Here is a 22,582-nt window from a genome sequence, read left to right as displayed (position 1 = left end):
AAGGCTAAAGACTGTCAACGGACTTTTGTCAAAAGCCATTGTCTGCTCTGCAGGCTCAACAGATTTTGTCCCAGGCCAATGTATGTTCTTCAAGCCCATTGAATTCTCCTAAAAATTATTTACCACCCCTTAAAATTATCCCCACTTCCCCATCTCCCTTTCCCCTTAGAAGTAAAGTATATGAGTATCTGTACCCTATTGGGAGATGGAGCAATGACTGTGCAATTTCCGCTCATGCATACTAAAAAATTTGTACGTCATTTCTCCTATTAATCTGCCCTTTATCAGTTGATTTTTCAGCAAACCTTTAGAGGACAAAGGGAAGCTTTTCCTTTGGCCCCTACACATATTTACTCTACATGCTCAACCTAAATGAGAACTTGAACAGATTTGCAAAGTCAAATGTCAACAGGACAATGATGGAGAAATCCCTGTAATGTGCGTGGGGAGAGAACTGGGAATGCTACAGTCACAGATGTTGGCAGCAACTCAAAGTCAGGTAATATTGGCAGGTTACAGAGAACAGGCAGGACTCAACCCTATTTTGCAGCTGTTCTTTTCTAAAAAAAAAAAAAAAAAAAAAATCTTTTACAAGAATGTGCAGGACATCTATTAAAGGATAAGAAGCCCAGGACAGAAAACATGAAAACAATATCCAGTTACCTTCAGGGAGCTTAACATTCCTCACTGGCAAAATTACAAGGCTGGCTATTAAACAGGTAGATTTTAAAGGCAATCATTGGGAACCACCCTAAATGAATTAAGAAAAATCAGGCAAACTCACCATAACAGAAGGAAAAATACTGTAGAACAGCAGTGTATTCATCAGAATTTATTTCTGAATCCCAACTCAGGGACCAGGTGCAGTTGCCCACGTCTGTAATTCCAGCAACTTGGCAGGCCAAGGTAGGCTGATCACTTGAGCCCAGAAGTTGAACAGCCTAGGCAACATGGCAAAACCCCATCTCTACAAAGAATACAAAAATTAGCTGGACTTGGTTGTGCACACCTGTAGTCCAAGCTACTCAGGAGGCTAAGTTGGGAGAATCACCTGAGCCTGGGGGTTCGAGGCTGCAGTGAGCCATGATTGAGCAACTGCCCTTCAGCCTGAGCAATGGAGTGAGACACTGCCTTAAAAAAAGAAAAAAGAAAAGAATCCTAACTTAGCCTCAAAATCACTGTCCAAACTTTAGCAAGTTATTTAGCATCGCTGAGACTCATTTTTTTTTTTTTATGAGGTTGACGTAGTAACTGTGGTTGTGTTCAGGATTAATATTACGATGAGCTAATGATTCTAAAGCAGGGCTTGGCATGCTGTTTCCTCTCCCCGTGTGGGATAATTGCTATTAATATGCAAAATAGTTGAAAAAAGGAGAGTCTGAAGTTAGGAATACTTACGAAGGAGTTTAAAGAAAACTTGAATTGTTGGGGACTCATTAACATTTATATAAAATCATTCAGAGTCCCAGAAAGAAAAAAAGGGTGACTCATGCTATTATACCTACTTCATAGAAAGGCTATTTATACACAAAGATTCTCTTAACCCAGCTATCACATGAGTTAGCGCTGATGTTTGCCTTTGCCTGCTTCCAACTTACAACTGTTACCTAATACACTGACCTGAACTGTGAACCCATTATTTAAAATGCCACTAAAATGTCATTACTAAATAATCTTTCTAGCTCTAAAATCTAAATAATCTGGAAAATATAAAAGAAATAATCAAAAAGAATTGATAAATATTAAGCCAAGAATGGAGATTCTAGGGTTAAGGGTTTTTGGTGGTATTTTCCCCTATAAAAATAATCCATTTTACTAAGATTGTTCTGTGGGATCTGTTTTCCAAAAAGGTATCAAAGTTAAAAAATCTATAGAAATAGCTTGACTGTATTTATGTTATCATCCTTGAAAAATGCTCAGTTCAAAAAATTATGAGCTTTTGGTGGCTTGCTTTTAAATCCAGTTTTATCCACTGATGATAGTTTCTTCTGTTTTAAAATAGATGAGAGTGCTTTGGTGATCATGGTTACACAGTATAAATATTGAGGCCACACGCTATCCCCTGCTGTCATTCAGGAGTTCATTTGTTCACAGTTCACCTACTTTGAAACATCTGATTGCCTCAATTACCAGCAAACAGTGATTTCCTGAACATAGATGTTCTTCCATTAACTTCTAAAGCAAGTAGTTTGCTAAGAAGCTCCACCCCATCTATCCATCATAATAAGCCAGATCTCTTTTCAAAGGCATTCCTGCAGTGAGAACTCATTCAAGTGTCAAAGCGTGGTTCTAATTGTAAAGTTAATGTTTTACCCTGGTAGGCTTGAAACATCCAAGGTTTAAATTTGATTCCCTAGACCCTACTAAAATGTAGAAGTCTAGAATGTTTCATGAATTGTAGAGGGTGCCCTAGATGGGATGTGATATATAACATGATAGGGGACCCTCAAACAAGTCAGAGGAGAATCTGGAAAAAAAATCAATGACTCTTTCTGGGGAGGAGATTGAAGTATTGATTAGGCAGAAAGTGGCTGATGGTAAAAGGTAGAATTACCCTATCCCTCCACCCCAAAGATGACAAGAAAGATTTGTATCCTCAGAGTAAATGAATAGAGGAGATAAACTACCCATGGCAGAGAAAGGTAGTCACATCAACAGGTTGCAGCCTTGGTGTGGGTAATCTCTGGAGGTTTCTCATCTTAGTGACGAGAGAAATCATGATGCAGATGACCTAAGTCACACCTGCTTGAGGAAGGAGGGCATGCTGAGTAAGCTAGGAATGGAGAGGCACCTGCAATAAGAAATAAGTTCCTCCCAAGAGGCTGGCTAATATGGTTTGGCTCTGTGTCCCCACCCAAATTTCATCACAAATTTTAATACCCCCATGTCAAGGGAGAAGCCTGGTGAGAGGTTATTACATCATGGAAGTGGTTCCCCCATGATGTTCTTGTGAAACTGAGGGAGTTCTCACGAGGTCTGATTGTTTTAAAAATGGCCATTTCCCCTGTGCTCCCTCTCTCTCCTACTGCCTTGTAAGATGTGCCTTGATTCCCCTTTGCCTTCCACCATGATTGTAAGCTTCCTGATGCCTCCCCAGCCATGTGGAACTGGGAGTCAGTTCTTTTGTTTATAAATTACCCAGGCTCAGGTATCTTCATTATAGCAGTGTGAAAATGGACTAATATAGAGAATTGGTACTGGTAGAGAGAGGCATTGCTATAAGGATAACCTGAAAATGTGGAAGCAACTTTGGAACTGGGCAACAGGCAGAGGTTTGAACAGGCAACAGGCAGAGTTTGGAGGGCTCAGAACAAGACAGGAAGATGTGCAAAAGTTTGGAACTTCCTGGAGAATTGCGGCATGGTTTTGATCAAAATGCTGACAGTGATATGGACAATGAAGTCCAGGCTGAGGTGGCCTCAGATGGAGATGAGGAACCTACTGGGAACTGGAGCAAAGGTCACTCTTGCTAGGCTTTAGCAAAGAGACCGGTGACATTTTGCCCCTGCCCTAGAGATCTGTGGGACTTTGAACTTGAGAGAGTCTGGCAGAAGAAATTTCTAAGCAGCAAAGCATTCAAGAGGTGACCTGGCTTTTCCTGAATGTATACTACTATATTTGCTCACAAAGAGTTGGTTTGAATTTGGAACTTATGTTTAAAGGGGAGGCAGAGCATAAAAGTTTGGAAAATCCACAGCCTGAACATGTGATAGAAAACAAAAACTCATTGTCTGGGGAGCAACTCAAGGTGGCTGAATACATTTCCATAAGTAAAGAGGAGCTGAATGTTAATCACCAAGATGATGGGGATGATGTCTCCAGGGCATTTCAGACATCTTCAAGGCAGCCCCTCCCATCACTGGCCCAGAGGCCTAGGAAGGAAAAATGGTTTAATGGGCAAGGCCTAGGGCCCAGATGGCTCTGTGCACCCTTTGGACATGGAGCTTCATGTTCCAGCCACTCCAGCTTCAGCCCTGGCTAAAAGGAGCCAAGGTACAGCTTAGCCCATGGCTTCAGTGGGTGCAAGCCCCAGGCCTTGGTGGCTTCTATGTGGTGTTGGGCCTGCAGGTATGCAGAAGACAAGAGTTGAGCTTTGGGAGCCTCCACCTAGATTTCAGAGGGTGTATGGAAATGCCTGGATGTCCAGGCAAAAGTCTGCTTTGGGGTCAGAGCCCCCCTGGAGAACCTCTACTAGGGCATCGCAAAAGGGAAATGTGGGGTTGGAGTCCCCACACGGAGACCCTGCTGAGGCACTGCCTAGTGGAGATGTGAGAAGAGGGCCCTGCAGAAAGGTAGATCTACCGATAGCTTGCATCATGTACCTGGAAAAGCCATAGGCACTTAACACAAGCCTGCGAAAACAGCCGTAGGGGCTGTACCCTGCAGAGCCACAGGCGCAGAGCTGCCCAAGGCTGTGGGAGTCCACCCCCTGCATCAGTGTGTCCTTGATGTGAGACACGGAGTCAAAGGAGATTTTGGAGCTTTGAGATTTGATGACTGCCTGGCCAGGTTTAGGACATGCATGAGGCCTGTGGCCCCTTTGTTTTGGCCAATTTCTCCCATTTGAAATGGGAACATTTACCTAATGTCTGTACCCTCATTGTGTCTTGAAAGTAACTAACTTGCTTTTTTTATTTTACAGGCTCATAGGCAGAAGGCACTTGCCTTATCTCAGATGAGACTTTGGACTTGGACTTTTGAGATAATGCTGGAATGAGTTAAGAGTTTGAGGGACTCTTGGGAAGGCATGATTGGTTTTGAAATGTGAGGACATGAGATCTGGGAGGGGCTGGAGTTAGAATGACATGATTTGGCTGTGTCCCCACCCAAATATCATCACAAATTGTATTCCTGTTATGTCAAGGGAGGGACCTCGTAAAAGGTAAATCGATCATGGGGGTGGATCCCCCATGCTGTTCTCATGATAGTAAGGAAGTTCTCACAAGATCTGATTGTTTTAAAAGTGGCAGCTTCCCCTGTGCTCCTTCTCCCTCCTGCTGCCATCTAAGACATGCCATGCCTCCCCTTTGCCTTCCATCATGATGTAAGTTTCCTGATGCCTCCCCAGCCATGCAGAACTGTGAGTCAATTAAACTTCTTTTGTTTATAAATTACCCAGTCTCAGATAGTATCTTTATAGCTTTGTGAGAACAGACTAACACACTGGCCCTTAGTTCAAGGGCAAGAAGTAAGCTATGCCTGCCTCCACTTAACCCTGTCCTCATCCATGTCTGCCTCGTGTCATAGCAAAGCATCAGTGCCCACGATCAGAAAGAAGACCCCTGTTTCATATTTCTCAACAACTGCTCAGCCCATATGGCCACTCTCTTCCTTCTTCTTTACCTCTTAGTACTGCTTGTAGTATCCTAGCCAGCCAGTCTGCTTCATGCTTCTGCATCTTGAGTCACAGTGGTGTCCCCAGCTCTACCACTCCGGCATATCTTTGCCTCCCATCTTCCCTGGGAAAGTGCTGATTTACTTTTTCAGCCTCCTTTCAGGAATTATCTCCAGAAAGCCTTTACTGACATCACCCTAGCCCCACACACTGAAGCTGAACAAAATGCCCCTCCTCTGTGCATACTTGTCACAGCCACATTAGTTTAGTTACGTGTAACTCCTTTAAACCACAGGCTCTTTGAAGGCAGGCAGGCAGGGGCTGTGCAATATTATCTCATACCTCCTGTCTCTGACATGTGAAAATGTAATAAAATTAAATGATCTGTTACCTGTACCTCCTTTAGTGGTACCTGGCTGATGGCCAGAGAAGCATCTGTCTCACATACAAGTGGGATCTGAACTGTTTAAATTAACAGGATAGTCTCCAAAGGCACATTTTGTGTAAACTTGAATCAAGGGGCTCCTGAGAAAAACAGATGATTTTCCTCAATTAGAGACTGAAATCTATGCAGATGGAACCAGAAGATTAAAACTGTCATGGCACTGGAGCTGTAAAACATGAAAAGAAATGAGAGTGAAATGATGGGTTCAAGAATCCAAATTAGAATGCAGGAACTAAGTAATCATCCAAGAAAAAAAAAAAAAGGAAAAGAAAAGAAAAATTAAAACCTCAAAAACCAGGATGGGGAAGAAGACCAAAATCTAATGTTCAGTGATCAGTAATATGTAAACCTAAATTGGCAAGTCCACATAGTCACTCAGTTTAAGTCAAGGCCCCTCAAGGATCCTTTAGGAAAAATTCTAACAAAAGAATCACCTTATCTCCTACTGTTTTTGATAGAAACCTAAATGGACTGAGCCCTAGGCTCAAGAATAAAACATACATATATACACAAACACACTCATATATACTTACATACATTTACTCAGGAAACAAAAAGACTGAAAAACTTAACTTAGCCTTAAAAAAGACACTAGATTAAGTCAATCAGGCAACCAGTATGTTGGATAATAAGAATAACCACCAGGAACCACAAATGTTGTTAGCAGTGATACCAATTCTAGACCAGAAACAGGATTTTACAACCACTGATGGCCCACAAAATGCACATCACTGATAAAGCTTGTGTTATTGCTTGCATGAAAACTAGGATATGAATTCCTAGCTCCTATGAGAGAAGGGATTATTAAGGCGACACATTCCCCATGCATAGTGAGGGTGTTTAAAAGTTCTAGGCAAGCTGAAAATACAACACCCACTACACAGATCTAGCTCATGCATTCCTCAAAGCTACCCAGTGAGGAAGGTATTACCCTCCAAAATTTACAGATGACAAAAGTGAGGCAAAATGGGACCATAACTTGCTCAAGATTATAGGGCTAGTAAATGTCCAGTAAGATTAGAATCCAATTCTTTGTACTGCAAACTTCATAGTTTTCCATGTAATATGTGCTGTCTCCCATGAGTTCCTGGAAGCTGCACTGAAAAGTGATCATAGACAGGAGAAATCAGAGAGTCTCAGAAAAACTCTTAGGAGAGCCAGAAAGCCAAGCCTTCACCTACCTCAAATACAGTTCTCAGAGCATCATGTCAGTCCTCAGTTACCCAGTAACTTTGTGGATGCCTGGTCACTGGGCATTTAGTAAGCCCTTCTCCCACTTCCTCCCACATTTCCTATGCATTTTTTTCCTTTCCACAATTTGGGATAGACATTTAAAAATGCAGAAGGATGAAATGCTATTTTTTCCCCTCTACAGCAGGGGAGTGGGAGGGCTGTGTGGATTAACATCCCCTGTTAATTTTTTCAAAATATAAAGCTTCTTTTATCTTCCTTGCCTGAGATTCTGAAGGCCCCTTTCTCCCTGCCTAATTAACCACGAATCAACATAATTTATTTACATACATATGTTGTCTGCCTGTTTTCTTGCTTGCCTTTTCATCAGTTTTCAGTTATAAAAACCTGCGCTGAGGGTTGGGCAATGTGATTTCTGGTCCCGTCTGTGACTCTGGCAGGTTACTTTCCTTCTCTGTCTCAGGTTCCTCAATAAGAAGGGCAGAGTGGGGCTGGGCATGGTGGCTCACACCTGTAATCCCAGCACTTTAGGAGGCTGAGGCAGGCAGATCACGAGTTCAGGAGTTTGAGACCAGCCTGGCCAGTATGGTAAAACCCCATCTTTACTAAAAAATACAAAATTTAGCTGGGCGTAGTGATGTGCACCTGTAGTCCCAGCTACTCGGGAGGCTGAGGCAGGAGAATCGCTGTAACCCAGGGGGCGGAGGTTGCAGTGAGCCCAGATCGCACCACGACACTTCAGAGTGACATAGCCAGACTTCATCTCAAAAAAAAAAAAAAAAAAAAAAAAAGCTGAGGGGCTGGGGAAGGGTTCTGACCTCTACTGACTCTTCTATCTTCACACTCTATCATTTCTTTCCTGTCCTGGGTAATTCACAGAGCCACTGAGAGGAACACATGAGATAATAGAGTTCAACGAGCTATGAATAATATACAGTGTCTAAGGACTGTAGCATTATTTAAACCTGCAGCTAGTCCATTTGTTTTTAAGTTCCCATAGCATTGTGTGCCCAGCCAAGAACCTTCTTGCCCCCAGTATTAAGTGTTGATGAAGATAAAAAATTGGAAAGAAGAGAGCACAAGCAAGGGAGAGAGGGGATGTTTGGAAGGGCCTTGTGATTTGAACTCTTCTTTTATTCCAGTTTTCTAGAGATGATAATCGGGCTTTTGGTTCCAACAGGAGCATTCCACGTTGTTGAGAGATTCGCAATGAAACTTCAATGCTGGGAGAAAAATGTGCTCATGTCTTTCTTTTCAAACACTTCATTCCATGTCCATCCCACATACAAGCACTGTGCAGAGAATGATAGGAGCAGGCAGATAAGTCATTTCACCAACAGTGACAATGTAGGACCTCATTTTAATTTAATCATCAGGATAGACAGGATTTTTGCCTGGTAACAAATCACCAGGCCCTTTTGCTGGTGCTGGTTTTACACTAGATTGAGCCCCATCATTCTTCATGCTGCATTACATCCACACCTTCATCGGGAGGAAATCCAATTTGCTTTGTATTGTTTGCACATCTTGCAGTGATATTAGGCAGTTATTTTCTGAGGCAAACTCCCAGTAAATATTTGGGAGTGATTGTGTCTTGTCTCAATTACAGATTCCATTTGAGCAAGGCTGACATTTCTGAAACTCAGAAAAACTACTAAACCTTTTCTAAGGAAACAAATTACTTTAAACAATAAGTGTTCCTGTATTAAAGCATTCACACCCCCAAATGTACTTAAGTATTTCTTTTCTTGCTCACCCTACTAAAAAGGCATAAAGCAGGACATGTGGCTCTCCAAAAAATTCATATATGCTGGGAGAGTTTTGAACAAAACTGTGAATTAAGAAGAGAGGGACTGTTTTAACCAGGGGTGACTTTCTTTTCCTTGCTTTTCTGAATCCTCCTACTCCCATCTTCCTCTTCCAATACTTTGCAGGAACAAGCCTCAAGCTGTGAACAGATCCAACTATATTGTTATTAGAAGAGTCTCTCATTCATGCACATTTGAAGAGAAGACCCTCAAAAAGAGGCAAGCGCTTAGATCAAAGGAGTCAATAACTAAGGTGTGTTTTCAGAAGTCACATGGCAGAAAACTTTGGTAGGCACATGAGATGTCTCAGTGACACCAGTGGGCAGGTATCACTACCTGGGTATCACTTGGAGGTCCCCAAACACCAGTGGGACCTCAACCCCAGCTGCTGTCCAGGCTCTTGATACCGTTGCAAGAATGAATTCAAGGACCAGTTGAAAAACAGTGAAACTATAGAGATTTATTGCGAAGGGAAAAGTACATACTCAATAAAGTGGAGTGTGGGCATACTCAAGAGAGAGTCACGCCCAAGAGGCTTTGGAGCTGCTACCTTTATGGGTTTCTTTTACCAAGGGGTGGAATATTGATGAAAATTCCTTGAAGAAGGTGGAGGTTTCCTGGAACTGTGGTGCCACCCATTTTTACACCAAATATGGATGTTCCTGGAACTGTCATGGTGCTGGTATGTGTGTGATTTAGTATGTTAATGAACATCTAATGAGATCCTAGGTGAAACCTAGCTCAAATCCAGTGCCATGTTGGGTTCAGTCAGTCTTAACCCAGGTAGGTCCACACCTCAATGCAGCCTTGAACTCCCAGACTTAAGTCATCCTCCCACCTCAGCATCCTGAGTATCTGGGACTACAGGTACATGCCACTACACCCGGCTAAGTTTTGTACTTTGTAGAGATGGAGTTTTCCATTGTTGTCCAGGCTAGTCTCAAATTCCTGAGCTCAAATGAACTGCCTGCCTCAGTCTCCCAAAGTGCTGGGATTACAGGCACAAACCACTGAATCCAGTCAGGAATTCTCTATTCTCCTGCAACCACCCTGTATTATTCCTGTTCCACCAGTGCCTTTTAAATTTTTCTTGATCAGCAGCCATTTTCTTTTTAATCAGATTCCCCATGTCATATCCAATCGTAACAAGAATTGGACAAAATTTGGGGGCTCCTGTTTTGGGGGGACCTGCGATTTAACTACAGGCACAATAGCAGCAAAGATCTCTGGGCCTTGCACTGTGCCACATACATCCCATATTTTGCCTCCTTAGACTCCACAGCAATCAGGTAAAGTAGAAATTGTGCTTTTTCTTAAATTAATATCTTGGATTAAGTTACTTGTCCAACGTTGTACAGCTAGTAAGTAAGAGAAAAAAAGTTTAAATTCAGATTTAGATGCCAAAATGTTTTTTCTTCTCCACTATACTGCAGGCCCCCCTATGCATGGCATCTTGTCAGTGCTACACAATTTGCCATTAATTGCCCTTTCATTGATTCATGAGGTTAGACTTCCCTCTCAAGAAATTTCCAAACTCCTTTGAAGACAAGGACACTTTTTTCTCTTTCTTTCCTCTCAATGTACGGTAGATGCTGATATGGCAAAAGAACATTCATGACTAAGCATGGAGAGGAATGTAATAGGAATGCCATTACTATGGATTGTGCTGGGAAGGAATGAGGAATGCAGGAACCAAGTAAAGGAATTTTAAGAAAACAACCATCAAATGTGAGGTTTAATAGAATTGCGAAGGACAGAAAATATGTGTATTGGTGAGAAAAAAGAAAGAGGACCTTAGAGGCACAGAATGGCTCCCAGAACCACAAAGAAGGAGGAGATGTCTGCAGGCATTCCCATGGTCACAAGCATCACAGAGACACAGCATTGTCAGGGCTGATGGGGTCTGGGTGAATTTGATGCCAGCGCCAAAGAAAATGAGTCACATGATAATTACAGTAAAACATCACAATGTCTTTATTTGAGTAGATCCCAATAATCTTTCCAAAACAGGGTGTTTCTTGGCAAACTCTTCTATTAACCAGTTTGAAGCAACTCTGAGAACATCTGCTAACTAGGCATAATGAGTTCTTATACCTTACAGAATGTCACCATGAAGAACAAATGGCATCAGCTGCCACCATGCTGTGGCATGCTACTTTACAAAATGATATGTTGTTATTAAGTGGCAAGGGATATTGATTTCTCAGTATGTTTCTTACTTGCTCAATTGCTTTGGTTACAACAACGACAATGTATATGTTAAATACGCAGAGTAGATACAGAAGGTTTATCTTTGGGTTCTCAATCATGTGGGACTTGCTCCTTGCCCTGGCAAATGACCAAATCCCCTGAGACCCAACTTGATTCTGTTCTTTCAAAAGAAGTCTAGTCTTTTTTCTTTTCTTTCTTTTTCTTGCTGAAACATTTAAAATGTGAGAAATCACCTCATTTGGAGTTGAGATGGCCCTGTGCTTGAAGGGCATGGTCTGGAAATCAGACAAGCTAAGCTGGGTCCCAGCTTTACAACTGATCACCAAGTCACCCTGCAGGTCATTACACCAATATGGTCTTCAGTTTCTCCCTCTGTAAAGGGAGAGGGTTGCCCTCAATCATTTCTAAGATGTTTTTGGTCACTAGAATTAAATTATTTTCTTGAGCTTTAAAGAATAATTTTTAAAAATTCAATGCACATTTATTTAGTGCCTAACGTGTCAGGCATTGTTCTAAACCCTAGGAATACTTCAATTTAAAACAAAGAACGTGCCCTCCAGGAGCTTAACTTCTAATGGATGGAGAAAGACAGTATAAAAGTAAATAAGTAAATATGTATCAAGTTAGATTGTAGAAAGTGCTGTGAAGATAAATTAAGCAGAATAAATGGAATCTGGTATGGAATTCTGGAAGTAGCAACGGGATAGGAAGTAGAATGCTAATCTATTTTGGGTAGTCAGTAAAGCCCTTGCTGTAAAGTCATTTCACCTCAGAGAAGAGAACAAAATAGGAAGTATATTACACAGATACTAGGCAAAGAGTACTCTAGGTAGAAAGACAAATAAGTACAAAGTCTCTGAGGCAGGAGTGGGCTTGAAATGTACTAGCAATCTGTCCCCACATGACTTGGAATGGACAGCATCCAGAGGCTCATCTGGAAACTGCCATGGTCCTTGACTTGCCCTCTGCTCCTGCTATTGGGTCAATACAGAGAGGAACCTGTTGTAGTAGCATTGTGATATTCTGGAAAAATGCCTGCCTTCGAGTACAAAGGAAGTCCACAGTCACCCCTCTGAAACTGGTGTGCTAAAGAAGAGAAATGTTTCAAGAGTTCATATGAGTTCCAAGTTTCCTTTGAGCAAGTTGACTTTCTTCTTTAAAAATAGTAAACATTTTGAAATTTTTTCCCCCTGAAAAAGGCAAAATTGAAACAGGCAGCTACATTTGGGAAGAAGGTAAAAGCAAAATGTGCTCTGTGAAGGTGGGAGTGAGTGGTCTTCTGCCTAAGTGTCTGCCATGAAGAGAGCATTTGTAATTACAGCCACGAAATCACCCTGTAGACACTTAATAGCTTAATAAGAGTTTTAATGGGTCTATTTGAAAATGAGAAACCCCACTGTATAAAATGGGCCCATAAAATGTTATGCAGCTGTGCTGTGGCCTCAAACAAATTGCAAATAGATCTCATGCAGTATCCTGTAATATCAACTGCTGAGTTTAGGTGGCTGTAGTATTTTGGCTACACTTGTCTCCAAAAATACTTAGGAAAGACTTCAGATGCCTTCAGAGAAGCCCTACAGAGACTGGTGGCTGACCCTGTGGGGAATCCTGAAAAATTTATGTTCATGTTTACTGCTCCGCTAATTACCTCAGCTTACACTGATAGCCTTCTTCTCTGAATTTCTATATTTTTATATCATTAATAAATTTATTTACCAATCTCTGCTATGAGAAAGAAGATACAAAGAACACTTTATCTCTGCCCTTCGGGTATTTACCCCATTCCAGAGCCTGTAACACCTACCCAAGGAAAAAGGATGTTAAGTATCATGAGACTTGCAAACCAAAGGCCATAGGAATTTAGAAATAGGAGGTAGAATTGCTGTTGTAAATAATCAAGAAAGACTTCCTGGAGGTGACAATAGTTTTGACAAGCCTTGACGTGAGGACTCTTCACAAAAATGAGCAATGCTACTGAGGGAAGTTGGTGGCATGTTGGCAGAACTGTGAGTAAACAAAATAGGTAGACTGAGCAAACTTGAGGACAAAGGTAGTGAAGGCTAGAAAGCATGGTGAGAATCAGGTAAGGTATACCCTTTGTGAACCCTGAACATCTGAGACAGTCTCAGTTAATTTAGAGTTTATTTTGCCAAGGTTGAGGATGCACACCCATGACACAGCCTCAGGCAGTCCTGATGACATGTGCCCAAGGTGGTCGGGGCTCAGCTTGGTTTAATACATTTTAGGGAGAAATGAGACATCAATCAGTATATGTAAGAAGTACATTGGTTCCATCCAGAAAGGTGGGAACAACTCAAAGCAAGAAGGGGACTTCCAGGTCACAGGTAGGTGAGAGACAAGTGGTTGCCTTCCTTTGAGTTTCTGCTAAGTCCTTCCAAGGAGGCAATCAGAGATGCATCTATCTCAGGGATGACTTTGAAGAAAATGGGAGGCAAGTTTGTCCTGAGCAGTTCCCAGCTTGACTTTTCCCTTTAGCTTAGTAATTTTGGGGCCCCCACATTTTCCCTTCACACCTTAAATAAAAAGTATTAAACATTTGGATTTAAACTCTGGGCAAATGGGTAGCCTTCGAAGGCTTTTGAACAGAAGTTACATAAAGACTAAAATTGTAGCAATATATATTTTTAAGTAAAAGAAAACAGCAAATGATGTCCACGGACTTAAGAAAATACAACACCTAAACCAGAGTGGTAGCAATGGGAATGTCAGGCGGAGATGCAAAAAACAACTCTGACCTATCAGCCATTCTAGCAAAATGTTAAACTGTTTGCCAATTGTTTTGTGCAAAATAGTCTGGGACAGAGACTATTCTCCGCAACCCCATGTAGCACAGGATTGGTCACAAAGCAGACCTCTATAAATATCTCTTGACTGGCTAACATGAAAAGCACCCATCTCCTGCTTAGCCTCTTCAATAGGCAAAAAGGGAGGGTATTCCTTGGGTCCATTCCAGTCAAAGAATGGGCTAGAGTCAGAGTCATGGTGTCACATCAAAGGTCACTGCTAGAAAATTTCCTCTGCGGAAACTCTAAAATATTGGCACATTCAGTCTAAAAATGTACTTCAACAGCTATTTTCCTGCTTCCTTTGCTATGAGGAGGCAGAATGCCAGGATTCTTTGTAGCATGGGAGTCTTGAAACTGCCATTGCAAAATTATAACTGAGAAAATTATGACACTGAAAGAGATCTGACCTAACTAACTCTATCTTTCTTCTCACCTCCAAGCTGTCCTTGCTCATTCCTGGGTGTAGGCCTAACTAACTTTGGGAGGAACTTAGTTTATAGTTCATAGTTTAAAACAAAGACAATAACAACCCTTTCCCAAAACAAACCTCCTTCTTGCCTGGGGACTATACTGCCTTTGTAGGACTAACAAATTAGCCACAACAGTAGAAATTATGGTGTAGGAGTCATGCAGCTGGGGGTTATGAGATTATGACCTTCCCCAAATTGCTCGTGGGAATAACATCACTATTACAAAACCTAAGATCAGTGCTTGAGATATTTCGCAGACCCTGCACTTGATGGATCAGCTGGCACCACCCAGGTTGATAAATTGGCTCATCTGGTCTCATGCCCCCGACCCAGGAATTCACTCAGAGCAGGAGGACAGCTTTGGTTCCCTGTGATTTTATATCCCACTCGACCAATCAGTACTCTCGACTCATCGGCCCCTATCTGCCAAATTATCCTGAAAACCCCCAATCCTAGAGTTTTCAAGGAGACTGATTTGAGTAATAATATAACTCTGATCTCTCATATAGGCAGCTCTGCATGAGCTCTCTCTCTATTGCAATTTCTCTGTCTTGATAAACCAGCTCTGTCTAGGCAGTGGGCAAGGTAAACCCATTGGGCGGTTACAGTCTCCTAAATTAAATTTTAGAGCAAGTAATGGTGCCCTGCTTTTGACTATGGTCATATAATGTCAATATTTTCAGATAAGAAGTGGAAACATTTATCTAGCATCAGTATTTTTAGTCTACTCTTACATTCTGCAAAGAGGACCGTATGGTCCTATGAAGAACTCTCACAGCATTAGTGCTTTGAAAAAATCCAGAGGGAAAATGTGAGCCCATTCGCAGGACACCCAAGAAACCTGAGTAAATTTGAATGGGTTCTGTAGCCCCGCCTCATGCTCCACTATGCCATATTTGATGATTGCATGTATGGAGTCATGTAAGCGGTCTGTAAACCAAAAGTATCCAAGACAGATCTCAATCAATTTAGTTCATTTTGCCAAAGTTTAGGACATGCCCCTGTCACAGTCATAGAAGGTCCTGAGTTCATGTGCTCAGGGTGTTCAAGTGATAGCTTGGTTTTATATATTTTAGGGAGACATATGACATCAATCAGTATATGTAATATGTACATTGGTTCCATCCAGAATAAAGGAACAACTTGAAGCCAGGCAAGGAGTCAGTGGGAGGGTTCCAGGTCATAGGTGGATTCAAAAATTTTCTGGGAGGCTGAAGCACAAGAATAGCTTTAACCCAGAGGGGTGAAGGTTGCAGTGAACTGAGATCATTCCACTACACTCCAGCCTGGGCGACAGAGCAAGACTCTGTCTCAAAAAAAAAAAAAAAAAATCTGATTAGGAGTTGGTTGAAAGAGTTTATATAAAGACCTCGAATTAATAGAAAGGAGTGCCTGCGTTAAGCTAAGGGGTTGTAGCGACCGAAGTTTTTATTATGTGGATGACGCCTCCAGGTAACAAGCTTCAGAGAGAATAGATAATCTTAAGGTCTGTTTTAATGTTAATGCTGACGAGTTGTTTCTGAATTCAAAAGGTGCAGGGCATAATGAGGCATGTCTGACCACCCATTCCCACCATGGCCTGAACTTGTGTTTCAGGTTAACTTTGGAATGCCATTGGCTGAGGAAAGCAGTCCATTCAATTGTTTGTGGGGGTGGCCCTAGAATTTCATTTTTGGTTTACACCTTTGTACTTCTGAAAAACTATGCAATTTATTCCCCATGAACAGTTTTGGATGAGGAAGAATTTTATCTCTTAATGTTTAAAAACAGTGCTTTAGGCTGCATTGGTAAATGCAATTTTTCCCAGGGTTTTCATGAGAATATGCAACAATGACAGGACACAGTGATTCCCTTTTGGAGCTTCACAACTCTCCTGAAGTAGAATTTATGAGCCCATTTTACAGAATCTTTTAACAAGATAAAACAAAAAGATTGTTTAAGGTCTTGGGAAAAATTACTGTGGAAGACTAGGCTACATTGATAGAAATTTTAAAGATTTTAAAGACAAAATCCAGTGTTGAAAAGAGTGTGAGAAATGAGTGACATTTTAAAGGGATACAGTTTTTTTAGGAGGAAATTTAGTATTCTTTATCAAAATTACTCACAGACATATTCTTTGACCCTGAACTTCTGCTTCTAGAAATCCGTCCTATAAAAATAATTATGAATGTACACAAAGACAAATATATAAGAATGTCTATTACTCCATTGTTTGCCACATAAGAAAAATGATGGCAAGTACAATGGTGTAGGTCATATTTCATCTATACTATGAAATATTATAAGGTATTTCTTAAACAGGGAGAAGCCTTTTACTATTTTATTGTGTGTATCTATCTATAGCTTGAAACATTTTACAATGAATATCTACTTATATATTAATTTAATTGTTTAGCTTTTATTTATTTATTTTTTTTATTTTTTTGAGACAGGGTCTCATTCTGTCACCCAGGCTGGAGTGCAGTTGTGCAGTCACAGCTCACTGCAACCTCTGCCTCCCCGGCTCAAGCGATCCTCCCTCTTCAGCCTCTGGAGTAGCTGGAACTACAGGCACACAGCACCATGCCTGGCTAATGGGGTTTCTCCATGTTGTCTAGGCTGGTCTTTTACTCCTGGGCTCAAGTGATCTGCCTGTCTTGGCCTCCCAAAGTTCTGGGATTACAGGCATGAGCCAGCATGCCCAGGCAATTTTTAAAATATTTTAATGTGACAAACTGGGCCAGAGTCCAAATTCTGAATTCATATCTACTGTTCGTTTCATGGTGGAATAAATTGTAAAGGGCTTTTTTAGATCCACATGTCAAAAAATTTAGCTCTCCCAGGATCTGCAGGTCACATAAGTTTTCTGGGGCAGATGTGTTATAACTTGAACACAGGGATGTGTGTATAAGAGTCATTCCCTTAGGAGGTCTGGCAGTGCTTTCTTGAGCTTGTTATCTGGCAGAGAACGAATAGATTGGGTATCAAGAGATAACACATGGGGGACAATACTGCTTTTTTACTGGTCTAATAGTTACTCTAATCTCTCCATTCACCTGTCACCTCTTCTAAGAAGTCTAATTTGTAATTCATATATTTATTCATTAAAATCTTTATTGTTTTGTATGTGTCAAGCATAAGAGTCATAAGATACTGAACTTTTTTTAAAGGAAAATAAAAGAGTACACTGGTATATAAGCAGATATTGAAAAAAGATAGTAATAGGGGTCTACATGGTTTCTTTCCTGGCCTTTACGTTATGTCCCCAAACTGACTTTGATTACATATTGACAGTACATACCTGAAAGAGTGTAGAGGAGATGTGATAGGATAAATAGATGGACTGAGAATCAGAAGCTGGGGATACTAGTCAATTTCAAATTATGAGAACATAGACCAGCTATTCAATTTCTCCAAAACTCAATTTCCTTATTCCTGCCTCTCACACTGATTTTTCAGAGAAAACAGTCAATATAACACACACATAAGTAATGCATGTAAACTACAAAAGAGCATATCAAAATATAAATTACTTTTGGCCTGCATGGTGGCTCACACCTGTAATCCCAGCAATTTGGGCGGCCGAGGTGAGTGGATCGCTTTGAGCTAGGGAGCTCGAGACTAGCCTGGACAACATGGCAAAACCCCGACTCTACATAAATACAAAAAAATAGCCGGGTGTGGTGGCACATATTTGTGATCCCAGCTACTTAAGAGGCTAAGTTGCAAGGATCACTTCAGCCCACAAAGCAGAGGTTGCAGTGAGCCAAGATTGTACCACTGCACTCCAGCCTGGGTGAGACAGTGATATTCTGTCTCAAAAAATAAACAAACAAATAAATAAATTATTTTAATGTATTTTTACAACAGTTTGGAGACTTTGTAGAAAAATCTTCAAATTGTTTAGACTTCCACTTTTTCAATCATTGCATATTTTAAGGACACCACTGCTGGGTGAGGTATGCAGTAGAAATAACATTTTTGAGTATGGAGTAATGTGTGTAAATTGTTAGGTGGAAAATAACTTGTATTAATAGAATCTGTTTATTATATATGAGTATGGGTGTGTATGTGTCTGAAATAAAGGTTCCCTCTATAAACTAACAAGATAATGACACAGGAAGGTGTTAAATAAAATGTTAAACTGAGATAAGACCAAAAAACAAAATTGTCTATGAGATCAAATATATAAACAACCTGTCAAATCGAAGGACACATCCTTAATAAGGATGAAGAGGCTGCAGATATAGGAAAGAAATACCTTTGGTAAGGGTTTGACAACTGGGAGTTATCATTCCAGCTCCTAGTTATCTCTTTTACAGCATTCAACACTTAGCTGAAGGGATAAAATTTTCCAGTAACCCCCTACACAGAACTCCACAAGAGACAGCTTCTCCCCTTGAGAGTGAGTCCCAAAGAACCTGCTCAGATATGCCTGTTACATCATCTAAAATGAGAGATTCCACAAGGAAGACTTCATCTTTCAATTCGAGAATTAGAATAACATGTGACCTGCCACTACCTCCTCCCCCAACCTCTGTTGCTCTTTTCTAGGTAAAGGAGCAGAAACACACATTTTCCTTTTGTTGTTGTTGTTGTTGTTATTTGTTTTTTTGTTTTGTTTTGTCCTGCAGACAGGGTCTCTCTGTCGCCCAGGCTGGCATGTAGTGGTGTGATTGAAGCTCACTGTCATCTCAAACTCCTGAACTCAAGCAATTATCCCACCCAAGTAGCTAGGACTACAGGTGCATGTCACCACACCAGGCTAATTTTTTAATTTGTTTGTAGAGAGGGTGTTGCTCTGTTGCCCAAGCTGGGGGTGCTGAGGTATCCTCATAGCTCATTGTCATCTTGAACTCCTGAGCTCAAGCATTCTCCTGCCTCAGCCGCCTAAATAGCTGGAATTTACAGGCATGCCCCACCATTCTAGCCTTTTTTTTTTTTTTTTAGAGAAAGGGTCTTGCTCTGTTGCTTAGGCTGGTCTTGAACTCCTGGCATCAAGAAGTCATCTCTCCTCCGCCTTCCAGAGTGCTGGAATTACAGGCATGAGCCACCATGTCCTGCCAGAAATAAACATTTTCTAAAGAAGTATCCATCTGCCTCGTGCTTTTGGTATTTAGGTACTCTCAAGGAAAAACTCTCTATACTAAGAAAGCTGTAAATGAAAATATAAATAAAATAAAAACTTAACTAGTGTTACTGCCCAACAGGTTCACCTTGCCCTCTGTCTAGACAGAGCCAAGTTATTAAGACAGGGGAATTGCAATAGAGAAACAATAATTCACGCTGTGTGGGAGACCTGAGTTTTATTATTACTCAAGTCAGTCTTGTGAGCATTCGGGGATCAGAGATTTTAAGGATAATTTGGTGGGTGGGGGGGCCAGTGAGTTGGGAGTGCTGATTGGTTGGGTCAGAGATGAAATCATAGGAAGTCAAAGCTTTCCTCTTGCACTGAATCAGTTCCTGGGTGGGGTCCACAATTCAGATGAGCCAGTTTATCAATCTGAGTGGTGCCAGCGGATCCATCAAGTGCAGGGTCTGCAAAATATCTCAAGCACTGATCTTAGGTTTTACAATAGTGATATTATCCCCAGGAGCAATTTGGGGAAGGTCAGAATCTCAGTCTCCAGCTGCATGATTCCTAAACCATAATTTCTAATCTTGTTGCTAATTTGTTAGTCTTCCAAAGGCTGTCTAGTCCCCAGGCAAGAAGGGGTTTTATTTTGGGAGAGGGCTGTTATTGTCTGTTTTAAACTATGAACTATAAACTAAGTTTCTCCCAAAGTTAGTTCAGCTAACGCTGGGGAATGAACAAGGACAGCTTGGAGGTTAGAAGCAAGATGGAGCTGGTCAGGTCAGATCACTTTCACTGTCTCAGTAGTAAACTTTGCAATGGCAGTTTCACTTGTGCTTTGAAATCCTAACACAAATGTTTTCAAAAGTGAGGAGTGGTGCATCTCCTTTGTTTTGCTTTGGCAAAGGTATATTCAAGGGTCAAAGAAAGTTCCTTGAGTGACATCACATTCATGGTGCCCCCCTGCCCCATCAGTACCTTGGAGAATTCTCCTTCTCCTGCTGTTCTAGAGAAAAGACCTCCCCAGAACACCATGTTCTCTCTTCCAAACTTGGAATCATTCTTGATTATACTTTGGTATACCCCACTTCCCTGAGATTTATATATATTAAGCACAAATCTATGACAGAAATTTGATTTTATCTACCTTTTTATGGTTTGTCTTATTTTGCTTATTTTGTAGTGTTCTTTTTGTTTTTTAAGACATTTTAAACACAGAAATTTGGGAGAAACAATGATTTTACTGTAAGTTTCTTCCGATAAGCCAGAAGTGCACCACAACCCTGTTAGTTTCAAGTCAGGCTTAGTAAAGATCCGAAGCCACTGTCTGGGAAATGTCTGTCTTCTCAGAGGAACAGGAGATGACAGCAGATTTCCAGCTACCTTACCATGCAGTATATCAGAGGCGAGAAACAAGGTGCTGGATTTGGTAGTTGGGAAAAATGAACAGGCATGTGCTTCAAGACTTAAATGGAGATACTCAGCTGCTGTCACTTTTTCTTAATGAGAGGATTCTTGGCAGCCTGAGGTAACAGCCATCTTGGAAGAAACGTCATTACGCTGAAGTTATTGTTTTCTCTTCAAATAGCAAGGCAATTGAATGATGTCTGATTTTTTAAATCTAGGAGATGCCACTGACTTAAGGCTGAAGTGCTCATAAAGTGATGTTGCCTGCAAAAGTGATAAGGCAGACTGAAGAAGTGGGAGAATTTCCCTCAGTCTCTATCATTATATGTGTCATTCTAATAAGCTACCATGCACGAAATGCAAGCAAGTTATGAAGCCTAGGCTGGCTGTGGAGTTGACGAAATAGAATGAGTATTCAGGATGGATCCCAAAGTGCAATAAAAGTAAATTTAAGTATCATAGGCTCAGCAATTAAAAGGTGCAAAGCATGACTGCCAGAATCTTTTAGATGCCAATATGGACATTCCATATTGTTGACTCTTTAAGTAGGTCCAATCATCTAGAACACCCAATTCCAGAGTTTCTGGAAAGGAAGGTCCCTTGCTCGAAAGTCAGCTTCCTCTTGGTTCACATATGCCTGAGTTCACTTTGTCAAGGTAGCCAAGCCATTTCTTTGTGAATTAAAGACAAGGCTGAAATGGCAACTCAGCTTCAGTATACTGAAGTATAAACAGGACTGACCCCAAATTTGGAAGAGAGAGGACATGGTATTCTGGAGAGGGCCTCTTCTCTTCTAGATCAGCAGGAGAAGGAGAATTATCCAAGGTCCTGATGGGGCAGGGGGCAGGGGGCAGGGGGCACCAAGAATGTGATAAAACTGAAATGGCAATTGAGCTGTGGACCATAAGCAAAAGAGACTAAAAGTATCCTCCAAAGTACGTGATTGGTGTCACCCTTTGCTGAGGGATGGATTTTTTAAAAAAGGAGTGAGAGAATCATGTAGGCACTACATATCTGAACTGGTGAAGGAAGGATTCAGGCATACCTGCAATAAATACCACCTTATCATTGAATTCAATCTTTTACATTTGGTTGATAATTTTTGTGTCTAACATCATGAGAGATGTTGATCTCTTTTCTTTACATGCAGTTTTCTTTTTTACTTTAATTTTAGCCTCAAAAAACGAATTATTTCCTCTTCTATTTTTATGGAAAGTTCACATTGCATTCTGCATTAAATTTTTGATAAAATTTACCAATAAAACCACGTGGATCTGAGATATTTTGAGAGGGAGGTTGTTAAGTATAAATTTAATTCCTCTAATTGTCAGGGATATTCAAATCATCTATTTTATGTTGAGTGAGTTGAAGTAGTTTGTGTATCTTGAGGAAATGATAGATTTCATCTAAGTTGTCAAATGCATGTTTGTAGAGATGGTCATACCAATCTCTAATTATCCTTTTGATGTACTCAGGGTTTGTAGTGATATCCTCTATTTCATTCTTGATATTGATGATTTGTGTCTTCTCTGTTTTTTTTTTTTTTTTTGCCTGTCTTGCTAGAGATTTGTTGATTTATTGAGATTTTAAAAAACCAGCTCTTTGTTTTACTAATTTTCTCTACGTTTTTGTTTTTAGTTTTATTGATTCCTGTTCTTTTCTTTACTTTTTTTCCTTCTTCTTACTTTAGATTTATTTTGTTTTTCTTATTTTAGGTACTTGCAGTGGGTGCTTAAATTAATGATCTGAGCTTTTTTCCCTCTTCTCTAGTGTAAACATTTAGGGTCCAAAATATTTTTCTCAGTACTACTTTAGCTGTATCTTACAAATTTTGATAATTCATTTTTATTCTATT

The 22,582-nt window shown here is 40.7% G+C and overlaps 1 long non-coding RNA gene across 5 annotated transcripts in view; it reads right to left on the bottom strand.

Moving 5' to 3' along the window:
- Positions 1-22,582, bottom strand: part of LINC00907 (long intergenic non-protein coding RNA 907) — a 504,759-nt gene that overhangs the window by 350,397 nt on the left and 131,780 nt on the right. For 2 of the 5 annotated variants that reach the window (NR_046174.2, NR_046456.1), the window contains one exon: positions 5,727-5,946. The exons of 2 other annotated variants lie outside the window; for them this stretch is intronic. This is a non-coding gene — a long non-coding RNA (long intergenic non-protein coding RNA 907). Of the gene's footprint in view, positions 1-3,733; positions 3,873-5,726; positions 5,947-22,582 lie in introns of those variants that run through there. One more of the 5 variants, NR_046458.1, reaches the window with a different exon arrangement.

This window comes from Homo sapiens, chromosome 18, assembly GCF_000001405.40.
Source record: "Homo sapiens chromosome 18, GRCh38.p14 Primary Assembly".
Classification (NCBI taxonomy): Eukaryota; Metazoa; Chordata; class Mammalia; order Primates; family Hominidae; genus Homo; species Homo sapiens.
This window is presented reverse-complemented; position numbering and strand designations above follow the sequence as displayed.